The 14,622-nt window shown below is 49.2% G+C and overlaps 1 protein-coding gene across 1 annotated transcript in view, besides 2 other annotated features; it reads left to right on the forward strand.

Moving 5' to 3' along the window:
• The window catches only part of ACCSL (1-aminocyclopropane-1-carboxylate synthase homolog (inactive) like), a 138,910-nt gene that overhangs the window by 78,083 nt on the left and 46,205 nt on the right, over positions 1–14,622 (forward strand). The window lies entirely within an intron of this gene.
• Positions 5,725–6,586: an enhancer, noted in NCBI's record as "H3K27ac-H3K4me1 hESC enhancer chr11:44026425-44027286 (GRCh37/hg19 assembly coordinates)". NCBI's record gives its function as "activates a minimal SCP1, AML or CMV promoter by ChIP-STARR-seq in naive H9 embryonic stem cells {active_cell/tissue: H9 hESC(naive)}" and the evidence as "EXISTENCE:reporter gene assay evidence [ECO:0000049][PMID:30033119]".
• Positions 8,115–8,614: an enhancer, noted in NCBI's record as "H3K27ac hESC enhancer chr11:44028815-44029314 (GRCh37/hg19 assembly coordinates)". NCBI's record gives its function as "activates a minimal SCP1, AML or CMV promoter by ChIP-STARR-seq in primed H9 embryonic stem cells {active_cell/tissue: H9 hESC(primed)}" and the evidence as "EXISTENCE:reporter gene assay evidence [ECO:0000049][PMID:30033119]".

Below are 14,622 nucleotides of genomic sequence, written 5' to 3' on the forward strand. Positions count from 1 at the left end.
ATCCTGGCCCATAGCACATGCTCAATAATGAAAGCCAACATTTACCGAACCCTTACAGTGTGCCAAGCCCCGCTCTAGGCATATCACATGTATAAGGCCTTATATTAGTTGTTTATTACTGTGTAACAAATTACCACAAATTTCCAGGCTTAAAATGACACACCTCTCAACCTCTGGGTCAGGAATACAGGCACAGCTTAGCTGGGTCCTCTACTTCAGGATCTCTCAAAAAGCTGCAGCCAACATGTCAGCTGGGGCTGGGATTTCATCTGAAGGCTGGACTAGGGCAGGATCTGCTCACTCTAGTGTTGGTGGAATTTAGTTCCTGAGGGTTTTTCGACTGGGGTCTCAGTTTCTTGCAGGCTGTTGACTGCAGGTGGTCCTCAGCTCCTTGTCACATGGGTTTCTCCACCATGACACTCCGGCAAAGCTAGCAAGGGTGAGTCTGCTACTGAGTAACCTAACTGCAGAAGTGATACGCCTTCTTTGCTGTATTCTGTCGGTTAGAAGCCAGCTACTATGTCTGGCCCACACTCAAGGGGAGAGGATTATACAAGAGAATGAATATCAGGGGGTGGGATAATCGGAGGCCAAGGTAAGGTTGGCAGCCACGGTCTTTCAATCCCCTTCCTGATCCCATGTAGTAGGTATAATCTGCTCTCAGTATCTGTGGGTTCCACATCCACAGATCAAAAATATTCAGAAAAAAATAAATCATAAAGAGTAACAACACAACAATGAAAAATACAAATAAAAAACCAATACAGTATAATAATTATTTACATAGCATTTACATTGTATTAGGTGTTATAAGTAATCTAGAGATGACTTAAAGTATATGGAAGGGGCCAAGCACGGTGTATCATGACTGTAATCCCCTCACTTTGGAAGGCCAAGCGGGGGCGGATCACTTGAGCCCAAGAGTTTGAGACCAGCCTGAGCAAAATGGTGAAACCCTGCCTCTATTTTTCTTTCCTTTCTTTTTTTATTTTGAGATGGAGTCTTGCTCTGTTGCCCAGGCTGGAGTGCAGTGGCACGATCTCAGCTCACTGCAACCTCCGCCTCCCGGGTGCAAGCGATTCTCCTGCCTCAGCCTCTCAAGTAGCTGGGATTACAGGCATGCACCACCATGCTCAGCTAATTTTTGTATTTTTAGTAGAGACAAGGTTTCGCCATGTTGGCCAGGCTGGTTTCGAACTCCTGACCTCAGGTGATCCCCTGCCTCTGCCTCCCAAAGTGCTGGGATTACAGGCATGAGCCACCTCACCTGGCCCCCTGTCTCTATTTTAAAAAAAAAAAGCCTGTTGCAGTGTGGCAGTGTGCTGAGATCATGCCACTGCACTCCAGCCTGGGTGACCGAGTGAGACTCTGTCTCAAAAAAAAAAAAAGAAAAGAAAACAAAATTGTAAAACAAACAAATAAATAAATAAAGTATATGGGAGGATGTGCATAGTGAATGCGCCCAGCCCCCTGTCTCTATTAAAAAAAAAAAAAATGCCTGTTGCAGTGTGGCAGTGTGCTGAGATCATACCTCTGCACTCCAGCCTGTGTGATGGAGTGAGATTCTGCCTCAAAAAAGAAAGAAAGAAAGAAAGAAAGAAAATTGTAAAATAAATAAAGAAATAAAGTATATGGGAGGATGTGCATAGTGTATATACAAATAGTATGCCATTTTATATCAGGGATGTGAGCATCAATGAATTTTGGTATCCACAGGGGATCCTGGAGCCAATCCCCCAGGTACTGAGAGACAACTATGCTATAAGCCCATTTCACAGATGAGGAGGCTGAGGCACCGATAAGTTAAGAAAATTGAGCTGGGATTCAAACCCAGGCAAGGTGATTCTGGAGCTCATCCTCATAACTTTTACATTAAGCTGCCTCCTCGATAGATGATAGCCATTATTATTGTTATTCATGCATTTGCTATGCCCCTGTTTTGTGCCAGGCCCTGTCCTAACTATGGGAGTCACAGAGATGCATAAAATAAATTCCCTCATCTCCGGAAGCCTGCAGTCTTGTGGGGAGGACAGAAACATAAACAGACATACTACCAAGCAAGGTGGAAACCGGGAACAATTTTTACCAGCGGAAAATGTGGTGAACAATACTCGTTATTTGTACGCAAAATGAAATTGCAAGCAAGAGTCCTGCTTGCATTCAGGAGCAAAGCAAGCTGCCCATCTCTCGGGGGTGGCTTGTTTCCAGGTTTTTCCATCAGTCTTTTCTAGCCATTTCTGTTCAGTCTTTTGTTAGCAGACAACAGCAACAGGCATCCAAACTTTGAAAAAAAATGAGGGCAGAAGTATTACAATTATTGAAATTGGGAAACGTTCTAAGATTCCGGGGTGAGACTGTGTATAGAGAAGATCGGGAGTCAGGTGCCTCCTCTGCAGCTGGCTTGTCGGGGGCAGAGTCTGGCCTCGGCGTGTCCATCTGTTAAATGGAGATTCATTCATGCATTCCTGCCTTGTGCAAGCAAAATACGAGATCCTGCCCACTCGCCTTCTGAGCTGTTATAAATCTAAATGTGGGTGGACAGGAGGAATTACAGAAAAGGAGGCCAGCCTTTGCCTGGGGTTCATGGATGGGGTGGGAGCAGGGGGGAAGTGGAGGTAAAGGGGCTGTGTGTGTGTGTGTGTGTGTGTGTGTGTGTGTGTGTGTGTGTGTGTGTGTGTGTAGAGGGTGGGGCTCCCCGACAGGCTCCTTCTTCCTCCCCAAAGTGGTTGAAGGGGCTGGAAGGCTCTGAGGGCTTCTTCTCTCTGCACTTCCTCACTGTCCTCACCCCGCTGCACCCTGGTGACAGGTCCTCTCAGAGCTAGCACAGCTCATTCCTAGTATTAATGGCTCAGGGAGGGGGCCTTGGAGTCAGCCCACCAGGGAGAGGAAAATAGGTTTGGAATTACAGCCCTGGTTTTGTTGAGCTTTTTTTCATCTGTGGACAAGGAGGGGGGAAGTGTTTGCCCTTGCTCCTTTGTCCCTGCTCCTGAGCCAAGGTGAAACAGGTCCTCCTTCCTCCTGTGTTACGTGGCCCCAGACCACCGGAAAGGGCCATTCTGGTGGGGGACAGGAGAAGGGGTGGGTTTGAGAGCGCGCCTCCCCATGCTGCCCTGAGCTGTGGGCCTGGCCTCGAAGGATTCTCCCCTTCAGATGCCACCTCGCCCCACCCCGAGCTGGCCTACCTGCACCCGGGTGGGGTGAATCTGGACCCCCAGGAATGACCCACTCTTTGGAAGAAGTTTCTGGAAGAAGCCCCCCGCGTGGTTTCTAGGGAAAGGTTACGCTGGGAAATTCTCTCTGATGGTCGAGCACACCACTTTCCTCTGGCTTATGTTTTTAAGTCGTCTTGACACAGGATGGCCAAAGTCATCCCTGGCAACCAACTCAGGGTTTCACCACTCACTTCCCCAAGAGACCTGGCTTTGGGAAACTCCAGTGACCCTGGAGGCTGTAGCTGGGGAGATACCAGCTTACTAGGGTGGGAGGGGCACTTTGAGGCCCTAGTTGGCATCTGGAAAAGGGCAGTTTGTGAATCTGCCTTCTGTGGGTCTGAATGCTGTGTGATCTGAGGGGAGCTATTTAACCTCTCTGAGCCTCAGAATCCTTACCGGTAAAATGGGGATAGTTACCCTAGCTAGGAGTGATTTTTTGTTGTGGAGGTTAAATGAGACAATAAGCAAAAGCCCCTGGCAAGGCACCGGGTAGGGGAGCTGCTCTGTTGACGGGAATGGCTGCATGGCCTTGTCCAGGGCTGGAGGGGTCTGGATGCGGCATGGTGAGGGTGACTTTCTGGGAGTAGGGAGGGAGAAGACACCATCATGCAGGGTCACAAGGAGGCTGCAGCTGCATTCGTGATGTTTCATTGCTTAAGCGTGGTGAGGGGACATGAGTAAAGACCATTTGGTTCATCTGAAATATTTCATAATGAACATTTACAAATGTAAAATGTTATTATATTTTGCAGAAAAGTAATTGCATTAGGAGAAGCTGGTTTTTAAAAAGAATGAGGAGAAAAATTATGTTAAAAATGATAACACAATGTTCCAAGTATAAGCCAAAGCAGGTCACGGAAGTCACCTCAGAGAGGACATGGTGTTTGCAGCCACTGCCAGATTCTTCTCTCTGAATTGTTTTTTATTGTGGCCAAATGCACATAACATAAAGTTTACTATCTTAACTATTTTTAAATGTACAGTTTAGTGGCATTAAATGCATTCATAGGCCTGGCATGGTGGCTCACACCTGTAATCCCAGCACTTTGGGAGGCTGAGGTGGGTGGGTCGCTTGAGGCCAGGAGTTCAAGACCAGCCTGGCCAACATGGTGAAGCTCCAGCTCTACAAAAAGTACAAAAATTAGCTGGGTGTGGTGGTGCATGCCTGTAATCGGGAGGCTGAGGCAGGTGAATCGCTTGAACCCAGGAGGTGGAGGTTGCAGTGAGCTGAGATCGCGCCACTACACTCCAGTCTGGGCAACAGAGTGAGACTTTGTCTCAAAAAAAAAAAAAATGCATTAATTACATTGGGCAACTGTTGCCATTATTCATCTCCAAAACTCTTTTCATCCTATACAACCGAAATTCTATCCCCACTGGACAGTAACTGCCCATTCCCCTCTGACTTTTCGCACACTCTGCAGTTTCCAGCCTGGAGAGGCAGTGCAGGAGCCTGACCTGACTGCTGCCCGGGGGCTGTGGGTCTGGGCTCTGCCAGGGGCCCCTGTTACCCAGGGATAGGGGGTACCTCACTTGGAGGAACCTCACCAGGCCCTCACCCTCTGGCAGCAGCCAGTAGCAGGGAGCTGTTCCCCCAGGCCTTGGAGGTGAGCATTCCTGGGGTTGTGGCTAGAGCAGGCAGAGCAGAGCCAGACCCCTATCCTGGGGTAAGGGGTACCCAGATGCCCAGAATGAGGTATCTGGGACCCTGACTGCCTAGCAACCTGCAGCCTCTTGTTCCGTTGGTCCTGAAGTCAGGGGAGGGGCTGAGTCTGCATGTGGAAGGGGGAAACTGAGGCCAGGGGGCTCCCAGGAGTGAGTGAGGTGAAGGGGGGGGATGTGTCCCGGGCATCTAGAACCACGTGCACAGAGGCTTGGAGTAGAGAGAGCCCAGATCAGAAGGGCAGTCACGAGCTTGAGTCTGGGGAAGGACACAGAGCGGGTTTTCTGGGCCAAGTTCTTGGTGTTTGCTCACCCCCGCATACCGCCCTGGGGGACCAAGAAACTACCCAGGGACCCCCAAGAGCAAGAGGTGAGAAAAGGAGTCTCACCAGCCTGTTCCAAAATTTGAGCTCCAGTTGCTCCCTACCCGCACCCAGGGCTTCCAAGGCCAAGCTGAGCTGAGCTGAGCTGAGCTCTGGTCCCCTCCCCATAAAAGCCTGTCTGCGACTCTCAAGGGCATGTACCTAGCTGTTTTCTCCTTTCATTCTCAGCCCAGCCCCAGCCGCAGGCAGGATGGCTATCGGGAAAATGAGGCCCTAGGAATCGAGGGGGCTTGCCCAAGGTCAAGTAGTGGGTAAATGACTCCAGGGTCTTTCCCTTCCATCTGCCCGCCCTATCCTCAGAGATGCACTGAACTTTGCTCCTCAAAATGCAGTCCAAGACCAGCAGCATTGACAGCATCTGGGAGCTGGTTGGAAATGCAGAATTCTAGGCCCCTTCCTGGTCCCACGGGACCAGAATGTACATTTTAGCAAGAACCTGGTGATTTGCTAGCACTTTACAGTTGGAGAAGCACTGCTCTAGGAGTTCTTTCCCATCGAGGGGATGCAACTTCCTAGCAGGGAGAGGATACCTGCCTGGATACACTCCTAACCAAGGCCATTGGGACACTTGTAGGAGATATGTTTTTCGGAGGCCCACTGGTGGTGGTGAGGTTGGCCTTGTCTTCAGAACACCCAGCCCGGCCCACCCACCCCTTCTCCCCCGTGCCAGTCTGCCCTGTGCTTTTCGAGTCCCGGCAAGCTCACCCCCACCCTGCCATTGTACACGACAGCTGTAGAGGGGTGAGGGGAACTGTTTCAATGGCTGTCCCTCCACCCCTCGACAAGAGTCCCACTCTTTCCCTGCCCCCAGCCCCCTGCCTGGTGAGGCTGATTGTCCCATTCAGCACCCCCTCCCCGGATTGGCTGATGGGCTTTCAAACTCCTTTAGCTGCCTAATTACTGCTGATCGTGGGCTGCACGTGCAGGCTTCTGTGAATATGAGATTCTGTAATTGCTGCTGGCACACAGCCTGCCTGGGTGGGGGAGGGGAGGGTTCTGAGGACAAAGGGGTTCCACTATGGGGAGGGGAGCACTGAGGGCAGCACTAGCTTTGTTTTGCTCCTCGACTCAGGGGCTCTGGGTGGCAAATCTCTCACAGTGAGGCAGCGCTGAGGGAGGGAGTGCAGCTGAGGAGTGGGCTGTGAATTTTGAATGCACAGCGGGTTTGGGGCATTGGGTGTGTTTTCTGCCAGGCACTGTGCTCCGTGCTTTGCATATTAGGTCTCACAGGAACACCAACTCATTCTGGCTTCCCCGGACGTGCCCAGATTTTACTACTGAAAGTTTCATGTTCCCAGAACCTCCTCCCCCGCCCTCTACCCCCAGGTAAAGCTGTGCAGGTAATTACACTATCACACTACATCTAACTCTCTCAACAACTAGAGGAGATGGCGGACCTGTTATCCCCACTTTACAGATGAAGAAACCAAGGCTTACAGGCATGTAGGATTTTGTCTCCAGGGTCAAATAGCTGCTAAGTGGCAGAAGCTGGATTTGGACCCAGGTGTAAACTCCAAAGATCCGCAATGCAAGGAATCTGCCCAAAGGCCAAAGTGCAGGGGAGGGCCCAAGTTTGCAGGGTGTGTTCCCCACCCCATCTTTTCTGTGGCCTAGGCTCAAGACTCCCACCACCATGCCACCCCAGCGACCTCCAGGGTTCCAGCCTTACTCTGTAGAGACTACTTCTCCTGGATCCCAGAACTGGACCAGTCTGAAAGAACTGGGCCAGTCCCAGGAGGGGTGACTGTGTGGACCCTCCTCTGGCAGCCAGGGCCTGGCTAGACCCTTAGGGGCAGGGTGCTAGGTGGGAGGGCAAAGCTCTGGCCTTGGAGTCTGGGTGATCTGGGCCTGGACCTGCCACCAAAGTGGGACCCAGGTGGTTCAGGCTTCCTTGTGGGATGGAGGAGCTGGCTTGGATGTAGACTGAGGCCCCTTCCAGCTCTGGGTGCTAGCTGGATGCAGCTCATTTGAGTGGCTGAGAGCCAGTGTGCATGGCTTTGCAGCTCCTTGCTGACTGCGTGACTTTGGGTAAGGTACCCAACTTCTGGAAGATGCTTAAGGGGGAATAATGATGCTACTCACCTCTTTGAGATTTTTTTTTTTTTTTTTTTTTTTTGAGGCAGAGTCTCGCTCTGTTACCCAGGCTGGAGTGCAGTGGTGCAATCTCGGCTTACTGCAGCCTCCATCTCCTGGGTTCAAATGATTCTCCTGCCTCAGCCTCCTGAGTAGCTGGGATTAGAGACACGCACCATCACATCTGGCTAATTTTTGTATTTTTGTAGAGATGGGGTTTCATCATGTTGGCCCGGCTGGTCTCGAACTCCTGACCTCAAGTGATCTGCCTGCCTTGGCCTCTCAAAGTGCTGGGAATACAGGCATTAGCTACCACACCCAGACCTCTTTAAGATCTTAAAGGGACAATCTGTGGAAAGCTTTCAGCATGATGCCTGGCAGGAAGTAATAGCTAGTTGTTGATATTGTTGTTATTATTTTTAGCGATGTTCTCCTCCCCGCGGTTGGACATTCAAGCTAACCTCTCCCCACTGGCCCTTGACCCTAGACGAGCGTCAAGAATCCTCGTAGGCCTAGCTGACGTTTGAGCCAATGAGAGCTCAGAGGAGAGACCAACACTACCCCCGGGGGCCAAAAATAGAGATAAAGCTGACTCCAAAGTTAGGCTTGGCGGGACAATTTTGCCCATACAAGGCCAGAGTCTGTACCACCTGGCAGGCCCTAGGGCCAGGGAGCTGCAGGGCAGACTGCCTCAGGCCTGCTCTGGTTTTTGCCAGATCTGCCCAGGGAGGCCCCGGGAATGTCACAGGCTCCTTCTGTCTCAGATGGATGACTCTCTGGGGACTGAATTTTATTTGAAATCAGTTTGAGACAGAAGTGCCCCCCAGCTTCGGGCCCCCTTCCCAGCCAGACATTCCAGAGCCTGGGCGAGAAAGAAGCCCCAAGGCCCGAGATTGTTCAGAGGCCCCACTTGGATGTGGAATCCGAAGCCATTGCTTCTGGGAAGCATCTGTGCAAAAGCTGGGGGACTCCAAGAGCCCCCATAGAAACAGACCTCTAGGCCACTGTGCAGTGATGAACCACCTAAGCCCTCTTCTCTGTCCCAGGATGATGCTCGCTCCTCAAACCACATCCCTGTTGTCTCATAGAGACAAGGCCTTGGGTCAGTCCAAGCAAAGGCACCTAAGTATAGCAGGAAAGGCAGCACTTGAACCTTTCCTCTGCCTCTCAGGCTCTATATGTGTGACCTTGGGCTGGGCACTCAACTTCTCTGAGCCCCAGAGCGCCTCAGGGAGGCTCCTCCTCTGGAAAATAAGGATGATTATGTATGCCCTTGCTGGTTTGTGGTGTAGATTACATGAGACAACGGAAGGATGAAATGACCAAGCTCAGGGCTGGCACACAGTAGGTGCTCTGTACATGCTCACTTTTATCCCTTTGGTTATAAGACAGTGTTGGGGGTGGTTTGGATGGTGCAGTGAGACCCGTCTCGACTCCTAAAACAGCACACAGGGTGCAGCTCTCCCTCAAGGTGGCTCAGGCACTGGAGTGCAGGAAGAGGGTTCTTGCTTTAGACAGGGTCCATCTCTTCCAGTGTGCACACTGGTCTAGCCTGGTGTGGGGATGTGGCAGCTGATTCTCCAGTTCAATATCCAGGCTTCTGTGTCATTGTCCCCATCAACCTGGACATGCCAATACTTCAGTGCCCAGAGGGCATCTCAGAAGTAATTTTCATTCCCCAGGATGATTCACCTTCTAAGGCTGCCTCTTGCCCCAGGCCACAAGCAGATGCTCAGAGATGGCTTTTGGTGGTGGTGGTGATGCAGGGGCTGGGGAGGCCCTGACCACTGCAAAAATGTGACAGTTTTTCCCTGGGATGCGACCAAATTGCAGAAAGCTAAGAGAGGTGACATATCAGCTGTGGGCAGCGTGGTCCGGGGCTGGTGCCTGGACTGCAGGAGTCTCTGCTCACTGGGTAGTTTATCTCTCCGGGACCTCCCAGGGCTCTCAGGGCAAAAAGCAATGTCAGGAGACCTGGTCTGCCCCACAGGGGCTGTCCTTCTTCTGTCGTTGTGAACAGGACTCATCCAAATCTCATTTTCCTAATCTGTAAAAGGGGATTGATAGAGACAGTAAGCATAGTGGTTAAGAAGATGGCTTGGGACCGGCTGTATGACCGCGAAGCATAGTCTTTCTATATATGAACTGTGTCAACCTGGGCAAGTTATTTTGCCTCTTTGGGCCTCAGGTTCCTCTTCACTGCAGCGATGATAACACCTGTCTCATAGATTTGCCACTTTAAACAATCTGAGGCACCTAGTGACATGTGCTGAACACCTACCAAGGGCCAGGCACTGCCTGAGCACATCACCTGCATCAGGTAATGTCATCTCCTGACAACTCTCAGAAGTAGGTGTTTGTATTAAACCCTGTTTACAGATAAGAAAACTGAGGTCCAAGGTCATATCACTGGTAAATGTCAGAGCCTGTGATCCCAGCACTTTGGGAGGCCAAGGTGTGCAGATCATCTGAGGCCAGGAGTTTGAGACCAGCCTGGGCAACATGGCGAGACCCTGTCTCTACTGAAAATACAAAAAATTAGCCAGGCATGGTGGCATGTAAATGTGGTCCCAGCTACCCGGGACGCTGAGGTGGGAGAATCACTTGAGTCTGGGAGGTCGAGGGTGCAGTGAGCTGTGATCATGGCACTGCATTCCAGCCTGGGTGACAGCGGGAGACCCTGTCTCAAAACAAACAAACAAAATTTAATACAATGCCTAGTGCTCCATAAATGGAAGCTACCATTATTGAACAGGATAGGAGCGATTGCGGTATCAGGGTTCCCAGGCCTTTGCTTCTCCCAGCTGCTAAAAAGGATTTGTTGTGACTCAGTTTCTCCCCTTCTCTACCCACACAGGAGGGTTCTACTGTTGCCAGGTCAGTTCCTTGGGCCTAGCCTAGGATTTGTAGAAGGATTAGCAGAGTTGGAAGAGAAATGCCAGAGAGCACAGAGTCTGAAACAAAACTGGGGAGAAGAAAAAGCTGCATATAAAAAGTGCTCAGGGCCGGGCGCAGTGGCTCACGCCCATAATCCCAACACTTTGAGAGGCCAAGATAGGAGGATGGCTTGAACCCAGGAGTTTGAGACCAGCCTCGGCGACATAGTGAGACCCTGTCTCTACTAAAAATAAAAAATTTGCTGGGCATGGTGGTGTGCACCTGTGGTCCCAGCTACTTGGGAGGCTGAGTCAGGAGGATCGCTTGAGCCCAGGAGGTTGAAGCTGCAGTGAGCCGTGATCGCACCACTGCACTCTAGCCTGGGTGACAGGGCAGGACCCTGTCTCAAGTAAGTAAATAAATAAAATAATATCAAATAGAATGAGAACCAATTGTGCATCTTGGAATCAAAGGACTCTGGCTGCCCATAGAAAAGGCTTCCTTGTTACTCTGAATGGACAAGTTGCCATCCCAAGCCCCAGTCCTCTTCTTACTCTGCTTCTCCTGGGGATAAAGTCTTCTCTCTTATTAATGATGGTAAATGTGAGACCAGAGATGCCTGCTCAAAACAACTGCTTGGTGTTGGAAGAACTAGGCTAAGAGGACTGACATCTAAATGAGAGATAAAAACGTCACCTCTCAGCTGTGTGCAATGGCTCATGCCTGTAATCCCAGCATTTTGGGAGGCCAAGGTGGGGGGATCACCTGAGGTCAGGAGTTTGAGACCAGCCTGACCAACATGGAGAAACCCCGTCTCTACTAAAAATACAAAATTAGCCAGGCATGGTGGCACATGCCTGTAATCCCAGCTACTCGGGAGGCTGAGGCAGGAGAATTGCTTGAATCTGGGAGGCGGAGGTTGCAGTGAGCCGAGATCGCACCATTGCACTCCAGCCTGGTGACAAGAGCGAAACTCTGTCTCAAAAAAAAATCGTCTCCTTCATATAGGCAACAAATATTTACTGAACACTTACTATGTACAGGCATTACTCTAGGTGCTGGAGATAGAGGGACAAATATCCCTGAAATAAAGTGGGCATATGGTCCAAGTTAATGCAGGTTTTTCAGAGGGGACTTATATGACTGGCAAAACTTGAATTGACCCCTCTCATGCCCAAGTGGATAACATGGAAGAAAAAAATCTCCCCTCTCTCTTGAGCTCTTTCTGCTAAGTGGTTTTGCTATGTTCACATTTTCCCACTGGCAGTGCCCTGAAGTCTCCAATCCCAGGTAGTCAAAACTCTGAAATGGAATTGTACATGGTCTGGTGCTGATAGCTAGAAGCAACTGATTTACTTCGTTCTCCAAACTCAAAACCCTTTCCTGGGCCTCCTGAGAAGTTGTCTGGTCTGGAAAATGGCAAAGAAAATTGAGAAATGGAAGCAGGAGCAACAAGTGTGTATAACTGAGTCGGGTCTTGCTGATGTGAGAGCTAGGATTGAGGAATTTGCACTCTATTTTAGCAAGAATTTGTAAACATCTTGTAAGTTACCCCTATACTTAGTCAGTGAGGGTGACTCAAGTTAGGCAAATTGCATGATGGAAAAGCTGGGACATAAAAGTCCAAATAAGTTAAAATATTGCATTGCATTTAGAGCCTGTAACCTGGGGCGCTTCCAATATTTCCAGCCTTTGGAAAAGATTTCACCATGAGCCAGAAACCCAAGAGCGTACATCTGTCTCTCCTCGCCCCACTGGGAGTTTAGTTCCTAAGGGTGTCTCAGATCTGTGTATGTCTCCCATCTCCCCTGCTACCTGTTCAGTCCATGCTACCTTCATTTCCCACCTGGACATCTGCTCAACAGGTACATCCTCCCTGACCTCCACCTCCCAACCCCCAGCCAGTGAGGCCAGAAACCCCCATGGCTGGCTCCAGTACTTCTCCCCAGCACTCATCGTGGTCCTAGCTATGGATTTATTAGTGAGCTTGTTTAAGTAATGGTTGCCTTCCCCATTTCATTATAATGTCCTTAAGTGGAGGGACTGCGTCTGTTTTTGCTGATCATTCTGTCCCCTGCACTTAGCACAAAGCATGGAAGAAGGAGTTTGAAACATATTTTGGCCAATGCTTTGTAAACACGTCCACATAAGTTAGACCTATTCTGACACTTACTCGGTCTCCCTATCCTGATCTGTGAGAGGTGCTCAATAAATATTTGTTCAGTGAATGAATAAATGAATAAAGGTGTTATAAACCTCAAAAAGAGATCAGTAATTTTTGCACATATGCAGTCAGTTTTTCTCCTCCCCAACCAAAAAAATGCTGAAGTGTTTCAAGACTGTCCATCTGAAAGAACATACTGGTCTGTTCAGAGCTCACATATGGGTGGTGGAGACCCTGATAAACCCTGGGTGTGTGTTTGAGTATGTGTGGGGGCGTGTGTGTGTGTGTATGGTTGAGAAGTTAAAAGAACATTCCCTGGTGAGAGGAAAAAGAGGAAGAGAGGATTCTGTTCAATTACCTATCAAAATACAAATACATCCAACCTAGAGCCTTATTTGAAGTATTTGTGCAATGAATACTTGCTCCAATACTGCTAAGTATTTGTGTAATGAGTACATATGTGAGGGAATCATTACTCATGTGCTGATGCTAGGAGGGATGTGGGAGGAAAGAGAAGAACCTCCCTTCTAGCCTTTTTTCTGTCCGTCCTGCCAAAGTCTTCTCCTGGATGATCCTCTGGACTCCTTCAAGGAGGTGATGGCCCAGGAAGTGGTCTGCTGTGGTCAGTGGGGCTAGTGTTTGGCTCTCAATAGAGGTTCCCATTTATGCCCACTTTGTGCTCAGTCTTCCAGAAAGACCTGATGCTGGCTAGGTATGGAGAAACAGGCTCTCTTATATACTCTTCTTGGGAATATCAATTTGATTAACTTTTTTTTTTTTTTGAGATAGAGTTTCGCTCTTTTTGCCCAGGCGGGAATGCAATGGCACGATCTCAGCTCACTGCAACCTCCGCCTCCCGTGTTCAAGCAATTCTCCTGCCTCAGCCTCCTGAGTAGCTGGGATTACAGGTGCCCGCCACCATGTCCAGCAAATTTTTGTATTTTTCGTAGAAACGGGGTTTCACCATGTTGGCCAGGCTGGTCTTGAACTCCTGACCTCAGGTGATCCACCTGCCTCTGCCACCCAACGTGCTGGGATTATAGGTGTGAGCCACTGTACCCAGCCTTGATTAACTTTTTTCAGGGCAATTTAGCAATATCTGTCAAACATTTAAAGACATATACCCTTCATAGTGCCAAATTATCTTCCAAGAATCTATCTCATGGATATACTTGAAGTTGTGTGCAGAGATAGACATATAAAGATGTTCATTGCAGTGTTTTTTATGCTAGCAAAAAAGTCAGAACAATTAAAGTCCAACAATAAGGAAACGGCCTAATACATTGTGGTCCCTCCATGTGGTGAAATGTTATGAAAGCTGTAAGGTGGCTCTTTCCATATTACAGTCCCTTGATTTTCTTCCTAACTCAACAACGTTCCTTCTTGGTGTCCTTTACTGGGTTAACCTCCTCTCAACAACAAAGAATAATCTGGTCCTAAATATCAATAGTGCCAAGGGTGAGAAACCCTGGGCTAGCCCAGTGCCGGGAGCATGGTAAATACTCATTAAATCTGTGATATATGAACAGGGTCTAGCACATGGCAGGTGCTCAAGAAATAATGGTTACATGACTGAAGGAAAGAGAATGAGGTAGGTCTATATATGCATATAAAGAAAGAAGTCCAAGATACACTGAAAAAGCAAAGTGCAAAACAGCGTGTATATTATCATACTTTTGGGCTAAAAATAGGCATAAATGGATCTGCTTATCTATGCATAGGAAACTTATGTATGTAAAAGAACATAAGCAATTCTTTTTCCTTTTTTTTGGAGACAAGATCTTGCCCTGTCACCAGGCTGGAGCTGGAGTGCAGTGGCGCAATCTCGGCTCGCTGCAACCTCTGCCTCCTGGATTCAAGCGATTCTCCTGCCTCAGACTCCCAAGTAGCCTGGATTACAGGTGCCCACCACCATGCCTGGCTAATTTTTGTACTTTTAGTAGAGATGGGGGGTGGAGGGGGGCGCTTGCCATGTTGGCCAGGCTGGTCTCGAACCCCTGACCTCAGGTGATCCACCCGCCTCGGCCTCCCAAAGTGCTGGGATTACAGGCGCGAGCCACCACGCCTGGCCAAGCACGTCTTAATAATGGTTTTCTCTGTAAGACAGAATTTGGAGTGAAGGGTATGAAAATATATTACGTATTTCATAGGTTTTTGAGCTGTTTCATTTTATTTTGTGAGCATATAGTGATTCTACAACTCACCACCACCCTGCAAACCTAGTTTAATTCAAAAACAAAAACAAAAAAAC

This window comes from Homo sapiens, chromosome 11, assembly GCF_000001405.40.
Source record: "Homo sapiens chromosome 11, GRCh38.p14 Primary Assembly".
Classification (NCBI taxonomy): Eukaryota; Metazoa; Chordata; class Mammalia; order Primates; family Hominidae; genus Homo; species Homo sapiens.